Consider the following 21145-nt stretch of genomic DNA (forward strand, 5'->3'; position numbering starts at 1 on the left):
ATATCCCCTTTATCATTTTTTATTATTGCATTTGTTTAATTCTTCTGTCTTTTCTTCCTGATTAGTCTTGCTAGCAGTCTATCAATTTTGCTGATCTTTTCAAAAAACCAGCTCCTGCATTCATTGATTTTTTTGAAGGGTTTTTTGTGTCTCTATCTCTTTCAGTTCTGCTCTGATCTTAGTTATTTCTTGCCTTCTGCTAGCTTTTGAATTTGTTTGCTCTGGCTTCTCTAGTTCTTTTAATTGTGATGTTAGGGTGTTGATTTTAGATCTTTCCTGCTTTCTCTTGTGGGCATTTAGAGCTATAAATTTCCCTCTACACACTGCTTTAAATGTGTCCCAGAGATTCTGGTACGTTGTGTCTTTGTTCTCATTGATTTCGAAGAACATCTTTATTTCTGCCTTAATTTCGTTATTTACCCATGAGCCATTCAGGAGCAAGTTATTCAGTTTCCATGTAGTTGTGTGGTTTTGAGTGAGTTTCTTAATCCTGAGTTCTAATTTGATTGCACTGTGGTCTGAGAGACAGTTTGTTGTGATTTCTGTTCCTTTGCATTTGCTGAGGAGTGCTTTACTTCCAATTATGTGGTCAGTTTTAGAATAAGTGTGATGTGTTGCTGAGAAGAATGTATATTCTGTTGATTTGGGGTGGAGAGTTCTGTAGATGTCTATTAGGTCTGCTTGTTGCAGAGCTGAGTTCATGTCCTGGATATCCTTGTTAACCTTCTGTCTCATTGATCTGTCTAATATTGACAGTGGGGTGTTAAAGTCTCCCAATATTATTGTGTGGGAGTCTAAGTCTCTTTGTAGGTATCTAAGGACTTGCTTTATGAATCTGGGTGCTCCTGTATTGGGTGCATATATATTTAGGATAGTTAGCTCTTCTTGTTGACTTGATCACTTTACCATTATGTAATGACCTTCTTTGTCTCTTTTGATCTTTGTTGGCTTAAAGTCTGTTTTATCAGAGAGTAGGATTGCAACCCCTGCCTTTTTTTGCTTTCCATTTGCTTGGTAGATCTTCCTCCAACCCTTTATTTGGAGCCTATGTGTGTCTTTGCATGTGAGATGGATCTCCTGAATACAGCACACTGATGGGTCTTGACTCTTTATCCAATTTGCCAGTCTCTGTCTTTTAATTGGAATATTTAGCCCATTTACGTTTAAGGTTAATGTTGTTACGTGTGAATTTGATCCTGTCATTTTAATGTTCACTGGTTATCTTGCCCATTAATTGATGCAGTTTCTTCATAGCATCGATGGTCTTTACAATTTGGCCTGTTTTTGCAGTGGCTGGTACCAGTTGTTTCTTTCCATATTTAGTGCTTCCTTCAGGAGCTCTTGCAAGGCAGCCCTGGTGATGATAAAATCATTCAGCATTTGCTTGTCTGTAAAGGATTTTATTTCTCCTTCGCTTATGAATCTTAGTTGTCTGGATATGAAATTCTGCGTTGAAAATTCTTCTCTTTAAGAATGTTGAATATTGGCCCCACTCTCTTCTGGCTTGTAGGGTTTCTGCAGAGAGATCCGCTGTTAGTCTGATGGGCTTCCCTTTGTGGGTAACTTGACCTTTCTCTCTGGCTGCCCTTAACATTTTTTCCTTCATTTCAACCTTGGTGAATCTGACAATTATGTGTCTTGGGGTTGCTCTTCTCGAGGAGTATCTTTCTGGTGTTCTCTGTATTTCCTGAATTTGAATGTTGTCCTGCCTTGCTATGTTGGGGAAGTTCTCCTGGATAATATTCTGAAGAATGTTTTCCAGCGTGGTTCCATTCTCCCCATCACTTTCAGGTACACCAATCAAATGTAGATTTGGTCTATTCACATAGTCCCATATTTCTTGGAGGCTTTGTTCATTTCTTTTTACTCTTTTTTCTCTAACCTTGTTTTCTCACTTTATTTCATTAATTTGATCTTCAATCACTGATAGATACCCTTTCTTCCACTTGATCAAATCAGCTACTGAAGCTTGTGCATTCGTCACGAAGTTCTCGTGCCATGGTTTTCAGCTCCATCAGGTCATTTAAGGTCTTCTCTACACTGTTTATTCTGGTTAGCCATTCGTCTAATCTTTTTTCCAGGTTTTTAGCTTCCTTGCGATGGGTTTGAACATCCTCCTTTAGGTCGGAGAAGTTTGTTATTACCGACCTTCTGAAGCCTACTTCTGTCAACTCGTCAAAGTCATTCTCCATCCAGCTTTGTTCCATTGCTGGCAAGGAGCTGCGATCCTTTGGAGGAGAAGAGGTGCTCTGATTTTTAGAATTTTCAGCTTTTCTGCTCTGGTTTCTCCCCATCTTTGTGGTTTTATCTATCTTTGGTCTTTGATGTTGGTGATCTACAGATGGGGTTTTGGTGTAGATAAGATTTTTGTTGATGTTGATGCTATTCCTTTCTGTTTGTTAGTTTTCCTTCTAACAGTCAGGTCCCTCGGCTGCAGGTCTGTTGGAGTTTGCTGGAGTTCCACTCCAGACCCTGTTTGCCTGGGTATCACCAGCAGAGGCTGCAGAACAGCAAATATATCAGAACAGCAAATATTGCTGCCTGATCCTTCCTCTGGGAGCTTCGTCCCAGAGGGGCAGCGGCTTATATGAGGTGTCTGTCGGCCCCTACTGGGAGTTGTCTCCCAGTTAGGCTACACGGGGGTCAGGGACCCACTTGAGGAGGCAGTCTGTTTGTTCTCAGATCTCAAACGCCATGCTGGGAAAACCACTGCTCTCTTCAGAGCTGTCAGACAGGGACGTTTAAGTCTGCAGAAGTTGTCTGCTGCCTTTTGTTCAGCTATGCCCTGCCCACAGAGGTGGAGTCTAGAGGCCGTAGGCTTTGTTGAGCTGCGGTGGGCCCCACCCAGTTCGAGCTTCCCCGCCGCTTTGTTTACCTACTCAAGCCTCAGCAAAGGCAGATGCCCCTGCCCCAGCCAGGCTGCCATCTTGCAGATCGATCTCAGACTGCTGCGCTAGCAGTGAGCGAGGCTCCACGGGCGTGGCAGCCACAGAGCCAGGCACAGGAGAGAATCACCTTGTGTGCTGGTTGCTAAGACCTTGGGAACAGCACAGTATTTGGGCGGGGAGTGTCCTGTTTTTCCAGGTAGTCTATCACAGCTTCCCTTGGCTAGGAAAGGGAAATCCCCTGACTCCTTGGGCTTCCCGGGTGAGGTGACACCCCACCCTGCTTTGGCTTGCCCTCCGTGGGCTGCACCTACTATCCAACCAGTCCCAGTGAGATGAACCAGGTAACTGTTGGAAATGCAGAAATCACCCATCTTCTGTGTTGATCACGCTGGGAGCTGCAGACTGGAGTTGTTCCTATTTGGCCATCTTGGAACCTACCCTGTATTGTGTTTTTGACTTTTTAATAATAGCTATTCTGACTGGTGTGAGATGTTATCTCATTGTGGTTCTTATTTGCATTTCTCTGATGATTAGTGATGCTGAGCATTTTTTCATATGTTTGTTGATCACTTGTATGTCTTCTTTTAAGCAAAGTCTGTTCATGTCCTCTGTTCATTATTTAATGAGTTTATTTGTTTTTTGCTTGTTGATTTAAGTTCCCTAAGGATTCTAAATATTAGGCCTTTGTTGGACGCATAATTTGCAAATACCTTCTCCCATTCTGTAGGTTGCCTGTTTGTTCTGTTGATAGTTTCTTTTGCTGTGCAGAGTGTTCTTTAGTTTAATTAGGTCCCACTTGCTTATTTTTGTTTTTGTTGCAATTGCTTTTGGGGACTTAGCCAAAAATTCTTGGCCAAGGCCAATGTTGAGAAGAGTATTTTGTAGGTTGTCTTCCAGAATTTTTATAGTTTGAGGTCTTACATTTAAGCCTTTAATCTATCTTGAGTAAATTTTTGTGTATTGTGAAAGGTAGGGGTCCAGCTTCAATCTTGTACATATGGCTAGACAGTTATCCCAGCACCATTTATTGAATGAGTCCTTTCCCCATTGCTTGTTTTTGTCAGCCTTGTCAAAGATCAGATGGTTGTAGGTGTGTGGCTTTATTTTTGAGTTTTCTATTCTGTTCCATTGTTCTATGTGTCTGTTTTTGTACCAGTACCAAACTGTTTTGATGACTGTGGCTATATAGTATAGTTTGAAGTCGGGTGGTATGACGCCTCTGGCTGTGTTATTTTTGCTTAGGATTGCTTTAGCTATTCGGGCTCTTTTTGGTTCCATATGAATTTCACAATAGTTTTTTTCTAATTCTGTGAAAAATGACATTAGTAGTTTGATAGGAATAGCATTGGATCTGTAAGTTGCTTTGGTCAGTATGGCCATTTTTATGACATTGATTCTTTTAATTCATGAGCACAGAATTTTTTGGATTTATTTGTGTTGTCTCCGATTTTGATTTGTTTCAATAGTATTTTGTAGTTCTCCTTGCAGAGATCTTTCGCCTCCTTGGTTAGCTCTATTCCTGGGTATTTCATTTTCTTTGTGGCTATGGTAAGTGTGATTGTGTTGTTTATTTCACTCTCAGACTAGATGTTACTGGTGTATAGAAATGCTACTGATTTTTGTACATTGATTTTGTATCCTGAAATTTTACTAAAGTTGTTTACCAATTCTGGGATCCTTTTGATAGAGTGTTTAGGATATCCTAGATACAGAATCATATCTTCAGTGAAGAGAGAGAGTTCGACTTCTTTTCCTGTTTGAATGCCTTTTGTTTCTTTCTCTTGCCTGATTACTCTGGCTAGGACTTCTGGTACTATGCTGAATAGGAATGGTGAGAGTAGGACTCCTTGTTTTGTTCCAGTTCTCAAAGGGAATAGTTCAAGCTTTTGCCCAGGCAGTATGATGGCTGTGGGTTTGTCATAGATAGTGCTTATTATTTTGAGGTATGTATTTTTGAGCAAGTCTTAATGTGACTTGATATCTTAGTTCACTTGGGCAGCTATTACAAACTACCATAAACTGGGTAGCTTGTAAACAACAGAAATTTATTTCTCATGGTTCTAGATGCTGGGCAGTCCAAGATCAAGGCACCAGCAGAGTTGATGTTTGGTAAGGGCCCATTTCCTAATCATAGATGGTGCCTTCTTGTGTCTTCACATGGTGGAAAGGGGTAAGACAGCTCTCTAGGGGCCTTTTTATAAGGGCACTAATCCCATTTGTAAGGGCTCTGCCCTTATGACCTAATCTACTCCCAAAAGGCCCTGCCCCCTAATATCATCACCTTGGGGTTTAGATTTTAACATATGTACTTTGAAGATACAGAAACATTCAGACCATAGCACCTGATACAAATGTTTAAGTTACAAAAGTCTACTTGGCCATTTTCTAACTATCCATGGTATTTTCTATTTTTTAATAACAAACAATAGTACTTATTGTTTTATTTTAAATTATGAGGGTAATTTTTGCTTTTCTTACTGAAAAAAAAATTTAGAAAATATAGAAAAATATTTAAAAGAAAATAAATACACCACAAATTTAACCCAGGGGTTGGCAAATTATAGCCAGCAGGTTGACCAACTGTTTTTTATGAATCAAATGTTATTGGAAGAGAGCCACACCCCTTTGTTTACTATTATCCATGGCTACTTTCCACACAACGATAACAGAGTTGTTTATTTGAGACAGAGACTACATGCCCCACGAAACCTAAAATATTTACCACCTGGCCCTTTACAGAAAAAGTTTGCTGGTCCCTGTTTTAACCCTCTGAAATAATCTGTTATTAGTATACTTTTCAAAGGGATATTCTAGACATATTTTTAAATAGTCATATTGTAAATTATGATCACATTATAAATAAAGTTATATATCTTTTGCTGATTTCACTTACCTCCATACCATCAGCATGTTACATATAATTATGAAAGATAACCAGAGGCCAACATTTTTAATCATTGTATTATATTTCATCGTATAAAAATATTATCATCCATTTAAATAATTTACTATTTTTTCCTCTTTTTTCTGACATTTAGACTTTCTAAGTTTTTGGTATTTTGTTTTTTGTTGTTTTTTTTTTTTTTTTTTTTTTTTTTTGAGACGGAGTCTTGCTCTGTCACCAGGCTGGAGTGCAATGGCACGATCTCAGCTCACTGCAAACTCTGCCTCCCGGGTTCAAGCGATTCTGCTGCCTCAGCCTCCCAAGTAGCTGGGAGTACAGGTGCGTGCCACCACACCCAGCTAATTTTTGTATTTTTAGTAGAGACAGGGTCTCATCATGTTGGCCAGGATGGTCTCGATCTCTTGACCTCGTGATCCACCCACCTCAGCCTCCCAAAGTGCTGGGATTACAAGCGTGAGCCACTGTGCCTGGCCTCTAAGTTTTTTTAATAAATAATACTGTGGTGAATATCTTTGTATACAACTGCTTACATTTTTATCATTTCCTTAGACTAGATACTGTTAAATGTAATTATGGAATTAAAGGGTATCGACATTTGTAAGGCTTTGGATGAACATGCTGAGGTTTTAAAACGCCATTTCCAGAAAACTCTGGGCCTCTTGCAAGGTTGTATAACATCATTTGAATAAGCTACCACAGTGGACATGGCTTTGGACTTGAAGAAATTACTATTTTCTCATACTTTAAATGCAAATGAGGATAATTATAAAAATAACTAAACTTTAGTTTGGATAGAGCATTGTTCTAAGTGATTAACATATATTAAATCATTTAATCCTTACAACAATCTTTTGGGATAGGTCTCATTACCCTATTTTAACAGTGAAGTAACGATTAAAACTTAGAGTGACTCCGAAGCTCTTGCATTTAACCACTGTGCTTAACTGCTTGAATATTTCTGTATGTGTTCCTTTTTCTTTTCATATTCACTCTGTGGTTCTACTACTGTCAAGGATTGTGTCCTGTGTTAGGTTTCTAGAAAATATATTTTCACCCTAAAGGTTCTGTGACTTCTAAAAAGTTAGAAACGCTTTCACTTTACGGACTCCATCCTGTCAGCAGAGAGTAGTTTAATTCACATTTGATATTTCTTTTACTTTCTTGGGCTTTCTCAGTGTTTGTTTTCCTCATTTTCTCACCTCTCAGTACTTTGTGTTGTCAAAACTTATCTCCAAAGTTTAAAGTTTACATATCATGCTGTTATTTTAAAAAGTAGTCTGGTGGTGCTTCTAATTATTGCTACTGCCATGAACACAGAGGCAGGCAGAAGCAGCTTCCAGAAGCTTAACGAAAATGTTATCTCCTATTTTTAAAAAGGATAAATGCAGACACAACTTTGGCTTGATGTTATAATTACTTCTTTTGGATTTCTAGCTATTTTTAAAACAAATTTACACCATTTTGTGCTTGTGTGAAACCTCAAGGATAATGTTCACTAGAGATCCTCCAATTATTTTTCCAGTGAGTAAGTTCCACCTCTTAATTGTTTTAATTAGCAAACCTATGAAAATTAATTAAAATTCTTATTATACTTCCAAAATTACATACCACTGACTACTGAACATAAAATCTTAATCAAAATATTGAAAAGGCTGGAATCCAAGTCGCTTTAATTGTCTAATATGCTTCAAAGAGAGAAGCAATGAAAACAATAAGGTGAATAAAAAGAAGATGCTTTTTCAGGGAGTCTACAAGACCTTTTACATAGATGTTTCAAAACGATGATGGTGATGCTTCAGCTAGTGAAAAATTATCAGAAAGATACAAAAAATGATGACGATGATGATCATCATCATCATGATAATGCTGGTTTCCTTCTTCTTCTACTGAGGAACAGAGTTGGTTTTCAGTAGAAGTGTCTACTTTGATGAGGGGGAAGTAATTCCTTTACAGCAAGTCCCTTGAAGCACTGCATGGAGATTATATGTGGCCACAGCCTAAGGAAGGGGCCTCAGCTAGTGTTCAAGCAGAGAAAGAAAGGAAGAAAAAAGAGAAGCAGATGGTTTGACTGACAGCAGGTGAGGAAACTGGTGCTCCTACCAAGTGCTAGCCTCTGGGTTAGGAGCTTTCACATAGGCTTTTTTTTTTTTTCTTCCAGAAAACAACCAGGTAGAAATTTGTAAGCATTAACCTCATTGTACAAATCAGATTTAAAGGGATTAACTAAACTGCCTAAACCCATACAAGGCCTTCTATCCTCAATCCTTCTCTCTCCCTTTGATGCACAGGCTAAGGTATGCAGTTTGGGTCATGTCTCCTCATCAAAGCCTAATCCAAATTCCATCCCTCCTATGGTCAGAGCCAGGATGAAGGTAGTTGTTTAAACTGGCTTTTAAAGTAAAATCAGGTAACAACAATGGCAACAACAGCAACTAACTGAGTAACAACCACAGTGACAACAGTAACTAATTGAAAATTAGAGTTTATTGTATGCCAGGCTAAGTATTTCCCATACATTATCTAATTTTTGCTCCTAACAACTGAATAAGGAAGCTACTATTATTATTCTCTTCCACGTAGGAGAAAACTAAGTCATCCACAGTTTAATATTGGAGTTATGTAGTTGGTAAGTGACAGAATTTTTATTTAAACCTAGGTCTAATTTTAGAAATAATTTTAATCACTACTTGGAAAATACACACACACACAACTATGCGTGCGTGCGTGCGTGCTCACACACACACACACACACATGCAAAGCATGAACACCATCACAGAGGTACGACCTTAAGCAAGCAGATGTATACAGCTTCTTAAATTAAAACTAGATGGGGTGAGGTAAGGAAGATGTTGTAACAGATACTGATACTAGTAAGTTATAATAGGGCCAGATATTCAACTTTTTAAAGGCACTCATTTATTTTGTTTTATACATCGAGTCTCAATAGTGTTCAGTTTCCCTTCTAGTATTTCATCTTTTGTTGTAAACATTATAAAATTGGGCTTTTTTCAGCTCGTGAAAAATTATCAGAAAGATATGAAAGCTGGCACAATTATTGTATCACTGAGAAAGATGTAGCTAAATGTGGATTATTGTTTATTTGAAATATATCAATACCTTGTTGGGAGAGGGCCAGCAAATTTCATTTACCAAAATGTGAATTTTGAAACAGACTACATTATCTAGTACACATAGTAGGTAGTTGATAAATGTTGAAAAACTGTGTGAAAAATAAAGAGTCTTTTATTTAATGACTACACCTTTTAAAAAATTATTATGAGTACATAATGGTTGTATATATTTATGGGACACGTGATTTTTTTTCCAACTTCAATCTTTTTATTTTCTGCCAGAAAGATTAGGGGTAGGAAGGGGTAGGAACAAACACATCTTATTCACAAACAGCAACATCATCAGTAAACAAATGTGGAAAAAGTGTCCATACTCATAATTAAAGTAATGCAAATTAAAGCAACAATGAAGTCGAATTTTTCACCTATTAAATTAGGGATACTTTTTTTTCTTTTTTTAATTTTTTTATTATACTTTAAGTTCTAGGGTACATGTGCACAACGTGCAGGTTTGTTACATATGTATACATGTGTCATACTGGTGTGCTGCACCCATTAACTCGTCATTTACATTAGGCATATCTCCTAATGCTATTCCTCCCTGCTCCCCCTACCCCCGACAGGCCCCAGTGTGTAATGTTCCCCTTCCTGTGTCCATGTGTTCTCACTGTTTAATTCCCACCTATAAATGTGAACATGCGGCGTTTGGTTTTTTGTCCTTGCGATAGTTTGCTGAGAATGATGGTTTCCAGCTTCATCCATGTCCCTACAAAGGACATGAACTCATCATTTTTTATGGCTGCATAGTATTCCATGGTGTATATGTGCCACATTTTCTTAATCCAGTCTATCATTGTTGGACATTTGGGTTGGTTCCAAGTCTTTGCTATTGTGAATAGTGCCACAATAAACATACGTGTTCATGTGCCTTTATAGCAGCATGATTTATAATCCTTTGGGTATATACCCAGTGATGGGATGGCTGGGTCAAATGGTATTTCTAGTTCTAGATCCTTGAGGAATCACCACACTGTCTTCCACAATGGCTGAACTAGTTTACAGTCCCACCAACAGTGTAAAAGTGTTCCTATTTCTCCACATCCTCTCCAGCACCTGTTGTTTCCTGACTTCTTAATGATCGCCATTCTAACTGGTGTGAGATGGTATCTCATTGTGGTTTTGATTTGCATTTCTCTGATGGCCGGTGATGATGAGCATTTTTTCATGTGTCTGTTGGCTGCATAAATGTCTTCTTTTGAGAAGTGTCTGTTCATATCCTTTGCCCACTTTTTGATGGGGCTGTTTGTTTTTTTCTTGTAAATTTGTTTGAGTTCTTTGTAGATTCTGGATATTAGCCCTTTGTCAGATGAGTAGATTGCAAAAATTTTCTCCCATTCTGTAGGTTGCCTGTTCACTCTGATGGTAGTTTCTTTTGCTGTGCAGAAGCTCTTTAGTTTAATTAGATCCCATTTGTCAATTTTGGCTTTTGTTGCCATTGCTTTTGATATTTTAGACATGAAGTCCTTGCCCATGCCTATGTCCTGAATGATATTGCTTAGGTTTTCTTCTAGGGTTTTTATGGTTTCAGGTCTAACATTTCAGTCTTTAATCCATCTTGAATTAATTTTTGTATAAGGTGTAAGGAAGGCATCCAGTTTCAGCTTTCTACATATGGCTAGCCAGTTTTCCCAGCACCATTTATTAAATAGGGAATCCTTTCCCCATTTCTTGTTTTTGTCAGGTTTGTCAAAGATCAGATGGTTGTAGATGTGTGGTATTATTTCTGAGGGCTCTATTCTGTTCCATTGGTCTATATCTCTGTTTTGGTAACAGTACCATGCTGTTTTGGTTACCGTAGCCTTGTAGTATAGTTTGAAGTCAGGTAGCGTGATGCCTCCAGCTTTGTTCTTTTTGCTTAGGATTGACTTGGCAATGTGGGCTCTTTTTTGGTTCCATGTGAACTTTAAAGTAGTTTTTTCCAATTCTGTGAAGAAAGTCATTGGTAGCTTGATGGGGATGGCATTGAATCTCTAAATTACCTTGGGCAGTATGGCCATTTTCACGATATTGATTCTTCCTATCCGTGAGCATGGAATGGTTTTCCATTTGTTTGTGTCCTCTTTTATTTCGTTGAGCAGTGGTTTGTAGTTCTCCTTGAAGGGGTCCTTCACATCCCTTGTAGGTTGGATTCCTAGGTATTTTATTCTCTTTGAAGCAATTGTGAATGGGAGTTCACTCATGATTTGGCTCTCTGTTTGTCTGTTATTGGTGTATAAGAATGCCTGTGATTTTTGCACATTGATTTTGTATCCTGAGACTTTTCTGAAGTTGCTTATCAGCTTAAGGAGATTTTGGGCTGAGATGATGGGATTTTCTAAATATACAATCGTGTCATCTGCAGACAGGGACAATTTGACTTCCTCTTTTCCTAATTGAATACCCTTTATTTCTTTCTCCTGCCTGATTGCCCTGGCCAGAACTTCCAACACTACGTTGAATAGGAGTGGTGAGAGGGCACCCCTGTCTTTTGCCAGTTTTGAAAGGGAATGCTTCCAGTTTTTACTCATTCAGTATGATATTGGCTGTGGGTTTGTCATAGATAGCTCTTATTGTTTTGAGATACATCCCATTGATGGGACATGTGATGTATTGAAACAGGCATATGATGTATAACAGTTGAATCAGGGTAATTGGGGTATCCATCACCTCAAGCATTTATTCTTTCTTTTTGTTAAAAACATTTCAACTCTACTGTTTTAGTTATTTTTAAATATAAAATAAATTGTGGTAAACTATAGTCATCCTTTTGTGCTAACAAATACTAGATCTTATTCATTCTGTTGTTAAAAATAGAATGTTTTTGTACCCATTAACCATCTCTACTTCCTCCTCCCCACTTGCCTTCCCAGCCTCTGATAGATTGTTTCCATATCTTGACTATAGTGAATAGTGCTGCAATAAATATGGTAGTATAAATCTGTCTTTGATATATTGATTTTTTTTCTTTTGGATATATACCCAGCAGTAGGATTGCTGGAGCATATGGTAGTTATTTTTTTTTAGTTTTTTGAGGAACCTCCATACTATTCTCCACAGTGGTTGCACTAATTAACATTCTTACCAACAGAATGTAAGCATTCCCCTTTCTCTACATCCTCACCAGCATTTGTTATTACCTGTCTTTTGAATAAAAGCCATTTTAACTGGGGTGAGATAATATCTTATTGTAGTTTAATTTTCATTACTGTGGTGATTAGTGATGTTGAGAACTTTTACATATACCTGTTGACCATTTGTCTGTCTTCTTTTGAGAAATGCTTATTCAGATCTTTTGCCCATTTTTAATCAGGTTGTTTTTTCTTATTAAGTTTGAGTTTCTTCTATATTCTGTTTATTAATCCCTTGTTGGATGGGCAATTTGGAAATATTTTCTCCCATTCTGTGGATTGTCTCTTCAATTTGTTGATTGTTTCCTTTGCTGTGCAAAAGCTTTTTAAGTTGATGTGATCCCATTTGCACATTTTTGTTTTGGTTGCCTGTGCTTTTGAAGTCTCACTCAAGAAATTTTTGCTCAGACCAATGTCCTGGAGTATTAAAGACTATGTATTAGTAAAATTGTTGATCTGCATAGAATAAACAAACTGGCTTGAAAAGAAAGCAGCACTTTTCTTAAGGGCTAATGCTTGCCTATGCAAATTAAATGATTAATCAAACACATTATCAGTAATAACTTTTATAAAAATCACTACTCCTGCTATTTTCTCTACTATTGTTTTTGTGCCAAAAGTACATATACAGCTTTCTACATTCTTTCCACCTGATTTAATATATCAAAGCTGATCTAAGTACCTTCTCCTGTTACATATATGTTACATATTTTATTTATAATACATCTCTTTTTGCATGCAAAGATATGCGAAATAGAGTAATTGGCAATATTGGACTTTGGTCCAGTTGGTTTGGAAAGTTTTTGTGCCTTCATGCTTATTCTTTAAGCATCGTGGATGCATTTTTAAAATTTTTCTCTGGATGCATTATAAGATAATGGTATCAACTATTTTTCTCTAATAGTCTATCTAATGACTTGATGTACAGACAGTCTCTGACTTACAATTGTTTAACTTAGAGTTTTTGACTTTACAAGGGTGAGAAAGCATGTGTATTCAGTAGAACCCACACTTTAAATTTTGAATTTTGATTTTTTTCCCTGGCTAGTGATATGCAATGCAAGACTCCCAAGATTCTGGGCAGTGGCAGGGAGGTGCAGCTTCTAGTCTGCCGCATGATCACAATGGTAAGCAACCAATAGTCTCCAATGTACTGTGTTGTCAGATGGTTTTGCCCAACTATAGGCTAATATAAATGTTCTGAGCACATATAAGATAGTAGGCTAGGCTAAGCCATAATATTCAGTAGATCAGGTATTAAATGTAGTTTTGACTTATGGTATTTTCTTTGTTTCTTTCGTTTTTTTTTTTTTCTTTTTTTGAGACAGAGTTTCACTCTGTCACCCAGGCTGGAGTGCAGTGGCGTGATAGGGGCTCCCTGCAACCTCCGCCTCCTGGGTTCAAGCAATTCTCCTGCCTCAGCCTCCCAAGTAGCTGCGATTACAGGCACCCACCACCAAGCCTGGCTAATTTTTTTTTTTTTTTTGTGGAGTCTTACTCACCTAGGCTGGAGTGCAGTGGCGTGATCTCAGCCCACTGCTGCAACATCCACCTCCTGGGTTCAAGTGATTCTCCTGCCTCAGTCTCTCGAGTAGCAGGGATTACAGGCACACACCACCATGCCTGGCTAATATTTGTATTTTTAGTAGAGACGGGGTTTCATCATGTTGGCCAGGATGGTCTCAATCTCCTGACCTTGTGATCCACCCGCCTCGGCCTCCCAAAGTGCTAGGATTACAGGCATGAGCCACCACACTCGGCATAATTTTTGTATTTTTAGTAGAGATGGGATTTTGCCATGTTGGCCAGGCTGGTCTTGAACTCCTGACCTCAAGTGATCTGCCTGCCTCAGCCTCCCAAAATGCTGGGATTACAGGCATGAACCACCGCGCCTGGCCCAACTTATGGTATTTTCAGCTTACAATGGGTTTATCAGGATGTAACCCCATCGTGAATCAAGAAACATCTGTACTTCTCTCCACTGATATGTGCATCTCTATCAGGTATGATACAGTAAAAGACTGTGATTAATGATATAAGTTCATTTTCATGATCAGATTTTTAATTTGAGGTCCTTAAAAGATCTCTAGCAAACCCTGAGTTCTTCAGAACACTATGGAAACCACAGCTGTAGGACATGGGAAAGTGAGAGGCACACACAGATCTGCATTGTAGAATGAAATCTCCTGTCATAAAATGGAGGATGAGTTAGTTAAAGAGGGGAAATATTAGAACCAAAGAGATTTGCAAGAAGGTTATTATGTAAGAGGATGGAAAATTAAACTTTGATACATGTCCTGCACATGTACCCTGAACTTAAAAAAAAAGTTGGAAAAAAAAAACTTCGATATATGAATCAGGAAAAAAAAATGCAACATTTGATAAATAAAATTGATTTTAAAAATTAGACAATTGTTAGTTATCAGGACTGATGAGTAAGAAGAGATCGTTGATGGCTTTTTGCTTTGGAAACTCAGGCAATTAATGGTGAAGCTGCTGAGATAGACAAGCATGCTGAAGTCAGAGGTACGTGTTTAAGTTAGTTTACAGTAAAGTGGATGAAGAGTTTGATTTTACACATAGTGAAACTGAGATACTAAAAACAGCTAAGTGCAGATCTAGAATTCAGAAGAAACATTGGGGCTGCATATGAATTTGATAACCAGATTGACAAAGCTTACAGAAGTGGAGCCAGGAAAGAAGTGGAGACTGAAAAGAGAAGAGGGCTAAGGGCAAACAAACCCTGGGGATCATGACCTGTTATGGGGCATGTAGAAAAAGAGCCACCAAAAGAGTCAGGAAAGCTAAGTTAAGCAGGAGACAGTTAACTTTATAGAAGTATGCAAAAGAGAGACTTGTAAGTAGAAAGAAGCAGCAAGTGTCAGGCCATAAAGAAATGCAATTTTGACTCATTTTAGTTTTTTTCCTCTTGTTAATCCCTATGCACCTCTACTTTCTGCCATCCTTTATCCAATAACAATGATAATAATAATAATGCCTCAGTAAATGATTTTACTCCTACTTCACAAATAAGTTTGATGCCATCAGGCATGACCTATTTCATATCCATCATCTTTGCCTTCACAACCCTTCTCCTGCATGAGTCCTTCCCTTTCTTTTTCTATTCCTAAGGCATCTCTGAGTCCTTTCACTTCTTTCCTACTCCTGACTTTGTTCTCCTGAAGGCCTCTTCCTTTATTTCTTAAAATATGTATACTTCTCCCAACTTACACTGGCTTCCTTGAGCCTGCTGCTCCCAATAACTGTCCTCCTTTCTTCTTTCTGAGCCAACTCCTTAAAAGACATTGTTTATACCCACTAAGCTCATCTATCTCCTCCCATTCTCTTCTGAATGCCTGCTATCTGGCTTTACCTCTATCCCACTATTAAATTCCTCAAAAGCTATCAATGACTTCCTTCTAGCCCAGTGGTCCCAACCTTTTTGGCACCAGGGACCAGTGTTGTGGAAGATAATTTTTCCACAAACCAGGGGCAGGGGGGATAGTTTTGGGATGATTCAAGAGCATTACATTTATTGTGCTCTTTATTATTATACAATGTGCTATAATATAGAATCAATAGCAGCCCTGAGTTTGTTTTCCTGCAGTTACATAGTCCCATCTGGAGGTGATGGGAGACAGTGACAGATCATCAGGCATTAGATTCTCATAAGGAGCACACAACCTAGATCCCTCACATGTGCAGTTCACAATATGGTTCACGCTCCTGTGAGAACCTAATGCAGCCGCTGATTTGTTAGGAGGCAGAGCTCAGGCAGTAATGTGAGCAATGAGGAGTAGCTGTAAATACAGATCTTCACTTGCCTGCCACTCAGCTCCTGCTGTGTGGCTGACTGGTACTAGACTGTGACCCAGGGGTTGGGGACCCCTGTTCTAGCCAAATCCTTTTTCAATTTCTAAGATCAAGTGAATCAACTTCAGGCCCCATTTTAAACTGCAGATTGACCAGCCTATCTTTAGGTTTCTGTGTCACTGCCTCATTCAGATTTCCTTCCTGTCTCTCTGCCAGTTTTCTCTCTCCTTTCTGCTGGTGTTTCTTCCCCATCTTGTCTCCAACTGTAAGTATTCCCTGTATTGTAGCACTTGGGCTCATTTCTCACTGTACATGCTGCATACTTTCAGATAATTCATCCGCTCTGCTAGCTTAAATTGCCCTTTCTATTACAATGTCGCTCATGTTTATATCTCCTGTTGACAGAATGATTACCTCTGTGCTGCCATCCCTCTTATGCCATCCATACATTAAAACAACCACTAATTCACAAAGCAATCACAACCTTGAGAACCAGTCAAGTATGAGGCCATTGCCATTGAGTTGTTTCTCAGAGTTCCTAAGGTCTCCGCTTAGAACAGCAGTTCTCAAACTTAAGATTTCATCAGAATTTACCTGGAAGTGTTGTTAAAAGACAAGTTGCTTGACTCTATGCCCAGAGTTTTCTGATTCGGTAGGTCTGTGGTGGGTCCAAGAATTTGTATTTCTAACAAATTTCCAAGTGATGCTGATGCTGCTGTTTCAGGCACAATGCTTTGAGCATCACTGGCTTAGAAAACGGTTTTTAAACATAGCTGCACAACAGAATCACTAGGATAGCCTTTTGAAAATTACTGCTACTCTGGCCAGGCTTGGTGGTTCACACCTGTAATCCCAGCACTTTGGGAGGCCGAGGCAGGCAGATCACAAGGTCAGGAGATCAAGACCATCCTGGCTAACATGGCGAAATTCCGTCTCAACTGAAAATACAAAAAAAAAAAAAAAAAATTAGCCGGGCGTGGTGGTGGGCGCCTGTAGTCCCAGCTACTCGGGAGGCTGAGGCAGGAGAATGGCGTGAACCTGGGAGGTGGAGCTTGCAGTGAGCCGAGATAGCGCCACTGCACTCCAGCCTGGGCGAAAGAGCGAGACTCTGTCTCAAAAATAAAAAAAAGAAAGAAAGAAAATTACTGCTACTCAGGACCCACTACTGGCCTATTACATCAAAATATCTGGTAATGGGCTCCCCAGTTAACTGTAACATGCAATCATGGTTAAGATACATATGTTTAGAAGCAGAGGAAAGGAAATACCACTCAGAAAAGCAATAGCCTTGGGTAGGGGTTTGCCCCATGGTTTCCTCCAAAGTCCATTAATTCCATAAAATAATAAGCAAAAGGGTCGTGTGTGGCCAGGGAGGGAGTGCGTAGCCTTCAACATATTCTCCAAAGGATCTGTGACTCCACCACCCAAATTAAAAATCACTAAGGAAGCTGATTCTTAGGGAGGCCTGGCCTGCTTACACAATTTCTTACATTCACACACATCACCATCATATATTGTTTCAAACTCCCTTCTGTTCATACATTAAGGCTTCTGTGGGAAATACCTGCTTTACTTTGCATAGCTTCAAGGCTTGAAATGTTTATCCTTGCATATTCACTCAGGTTAATAAGCATTTGTTTCTAAGTGCTTATTAAGAAGAAGAATCCAACATCCATCCATCATTGACATGTTGGCAAGAATCACTTTATCTAGGTTGGTTTTATATTACCATATGTCCTAAAGTAATAGGTATTTTGAATGAGCAAAGAAGGGAGTATGAAGAACATTGACAGTCTAAGTAGAGGCCCACAGAGAAGTTTTCAAAAAAACCCGGACAATGGTAACCTGAAAGATTGAGACGGGTATCTGAGGCAGTAAGATATGTGTGAAGAAAGAAAAATCAGAATACACAAAGAGTAATTTTTAACTATGGTACCTGAAACTCATTGTACGATGAAGAAACGAATAGAAAATCATCTTCCTTCTTCTTTTCTTCCCTCATGTTCATCACATACAGATTCCTCAGAATCATTAACTAAGGATTAACATGATCTCTACTAGTGGGGTCAGTTTTGAGTAATGTAAAGCATGGGAGCCTTAGAGCCAATCCCAGCTCTGCCATTCACTGTCTAGGTGGCCTCGAGCAACTGTTAACCTCTCTAAGTCCAAGTTTCCTATCTGTAAAATAGCAATGATAATACCCGCCTCATGAGGTTATCTTGAAAAGTAAATGAAATAATTTTTAGTACTTATTACAGTGCTTCAAACTACCAAGTGTTCAATAAATGGCTGTTACTACAACTCAGCTAGGTTATGATCAAATAGGCATTTTTTGGACTAGCCTAAAAATGCAACTATGTATCAATTGCTATTTTCTATGTCCCAAGTGATTGGCTTTGAGATAGTCTTCACTATGAAAACATTTAAATACTCACTTTACATTTTCAATTTACTTTTTAAACGAACTACTTGTTGTTCCAACTGCCAATACTTTTTGTTTAGCTACTCAGTTACCATCTTAATCTCACAGCTAATAGAAACTTCTCCCCGAAATGAGAGTTTCTTAGGAACAAGGATCATGTCTTTATCAAATAACCATTAATTGAGCATCTATATGTCAATAACTGGACATAAAAAGATACATACGATTAGTTCCTTTCCTCATGGGGTTTAACTTCTACCTGGGAAAAATAATATGCAAATACAATTCAAGATTATGACTGTTATAATAAAGATGCGTGCCAAGAACTATTGAGTCTACTGGAAGAACAGATTTATTTTATCTCATTTGATAAGGAAATCTTCGTAAGAGAGGTGGCATTAGAACTGAGCCAAATGTATATCAAACTCAATAATAAATGAAGTAATTCCAGCACTTTGGAAGACAGAGATGGAAGGATCACTTGAAGCTAGGAGTTTGAGACAAGCCTGGGAAACATAGCAAGACCCCTGTCTCTACCAAAATAAATAAATAAAAATAACATTAGCCAGGCATGGTGGCACATCTTTGTAGTCCTGGCTATTCAGGAGGCTGAGGCAGGGTAATCACTTGAGCACAGGAGTTTGAGGTTACAATGAGTTATGATCATGCCATTGCACTCCAGCCTGGGTGACAGAGCAAGACCTTGTATCAAATAATAATAATAACACTAATAATAACTGTAAAACATATGTAGGAATAGAGAGATCTGCATGAATGCTACTGCAGGACAAGATTCATAAGTGTACTATGGTAATTTTGGACCTTGAATACATAGGATAAAGATAAAAGATGAAATGTCATGGTGTGCATCTAGGCATGTATGTAATAGTAAGAAATATTATTAATAAATAGCAAGCTGGTTGATGGGAAATAATGTTAGAGAGGTGCTACCAAGAAACTGTATTTTGTAGAGCCCTGGGAACTGAGCAGGGAAGTTTAGACCTCATGCAATAAGCAAAAGAAAAACAAAAAAAAAAAAAAAAAGAAAAAAAGGCATTATAGATTCTACAACCAAGGTATATGTAACATGATGAAAGCTAAGTTGTAGTAAGGTTATTCCAGCTATCATGTTGTGGGTAAAGGATCGAGGCTAAATATGGTAGACTAGAGCATCTTGAGTCAATTTTATTAATGCAGCTATGACCTGTGGTAGGTCTAGACGAGTACAAGTATGTGTTTAGAGATCAACTATAGATATAAATGTGATATTTCATGAATGTCACCTGGGATATTTGAATAATAATATCACTGACAAATATTGCAAAGGTAATGGGAAAGATTATGAATCATTTTTAAGTGAATAAAATTTAGCATCATCTTTATGCCAAGTATGTGAAAATATATAATATTTCAGGTATATGTATCTACATAATATGTGCATCTTCATTCAGTATCTGTTTCCCACAGTATATCTTGTTTCCACAAAGAAATTATCTACTTCTGCTGGGCGGAATCTCGTCTCATATTTCTCATGCATTCTACAGAGCCTACCGTGTAAAAAACATAAAGTTGGTACTTAATAAAAACTTATTTGATTAAATAACTGAGGTCAGAAATAGCAGAAAACTAGCCCATCTTAGATGGAGTCATTAGTGAATAAGAATTATTTATTCCTAATAATATTGATGAAGTGGCAAAAGTTTTACTGTGCCAAGTAATTCTAGACAATAAAACTATAGTTCATTTTTTTTTTAATATTCAGTAGAACAAATTTTATGGACCTGAAACATCAAGGGAAATAGGGAAAAATCACCCTTCTCATCTACTCAGGTTTGCGTAGGTTTATTTTTTTTTTCTTTTTTCACTTTAAAAGTGTGATCTTAGGCTGGGCCTGGTGCCTCATGCCTGCAATCCCAGCACTTTGGGAGACCAAGGTGGGCAGATCACGAGGTCAGGAGTTCGAGACCAGCCTGACCAAGATAGTGAAACCCCATCTCTACTAAAAATACAAAAATTAGCCGTGCGTGGTGGCAGGTGCCTATAATCCCAGCTACTCGGGAGGCTGAGGCAGAGAATTGCTTGAACCTGGGAGGCGGAGGTTGCAGTGAGCCGAGATCACACCATTGCTTTCCAGCCTGGGCTACAGGGTGAAAATCCATCTCAAAAAAAAAAAAAAAGTGATCTTAAAGTTGGAGTGGGAGAATAAGACAGTAAATCAGCCCAATCTTTTATAGCAGCATATTCACTTCACTTAGAAAAAATAACTTTAATTGCACAGGGATAGAAAGAAAGATATTTGAATACCTTTCCTTGACAAGATTCAGAGCTTTCATGTAAGAATAAAATATACATTTACAGTAAATTTAGATTTGGGGTAGAATTTAAACTCTTGTCCATCAACATGTAATGAATGAATGTGACGCTTGCATAATAGCATTTTTTGGAGCACTGTTAGAGCAAGGGAGTCTTCGCAATGCTAAAGAAAAAAGGAAGTTAAAAAATTTAAGGATGTTTCACTTTCAATAAAAAAAATCCTAGTTGAAATAAGTTGGCAACTCCATGTTCAGAATCTATATTGTTTCTCTAATGTTCAGGAATGGTTAAGGCAGGAAAGAGAATCTCAAGGTCACCAGGAATAGTCCTTAGAGTATTCTTATAGGGCTTATCTGTGCTCACATGCCTAATTTTTTTCCAAGTGCAAAAGAATGGCCACTTGCTTGAGACAGGCCCAGTGCCATCCTTTATTCAAGTTCCTTTATACTCCTCTTTTTAAAGAAGCTGTCAAGTTCTTTTTTTGCAGTTGACAGGAAAGGCCAAATCTGTGGTACAGGAAAGGAGGCGCAAAAAAGAAACTTTTTTGTGTTGATGTTTTACTAAG

The 21145-nt window shown here is 38.3% G+C and overlaps 1 long non-coding RNA gene across 3 annotated transcripts in view; it reads left to right on the top strand.

Moving 5' to 3' along the window:
- SOX2-OT (SOX2 overlapping transcript) overlaps nucleotides 1-21145 on the top strand; it is a 685549-nt gene that overhangs the window by 531551 nt on the left and 132853 nt on the right. The gene's annotated exons all lie outside the window — the stretch shown is intronic.

The sequence above is a fragment of the Homo sapiens genome, chromosome 3, assembly GCF_000001405.40.
Source record: "Homo sapiens chromosome 3, GRCh38.p14 Primary Assembly".
NCBI lineage: Eukaryota > Metazoa > Chordata > Mammalia > Primates > Hominidae > Homo > Homo sapiens.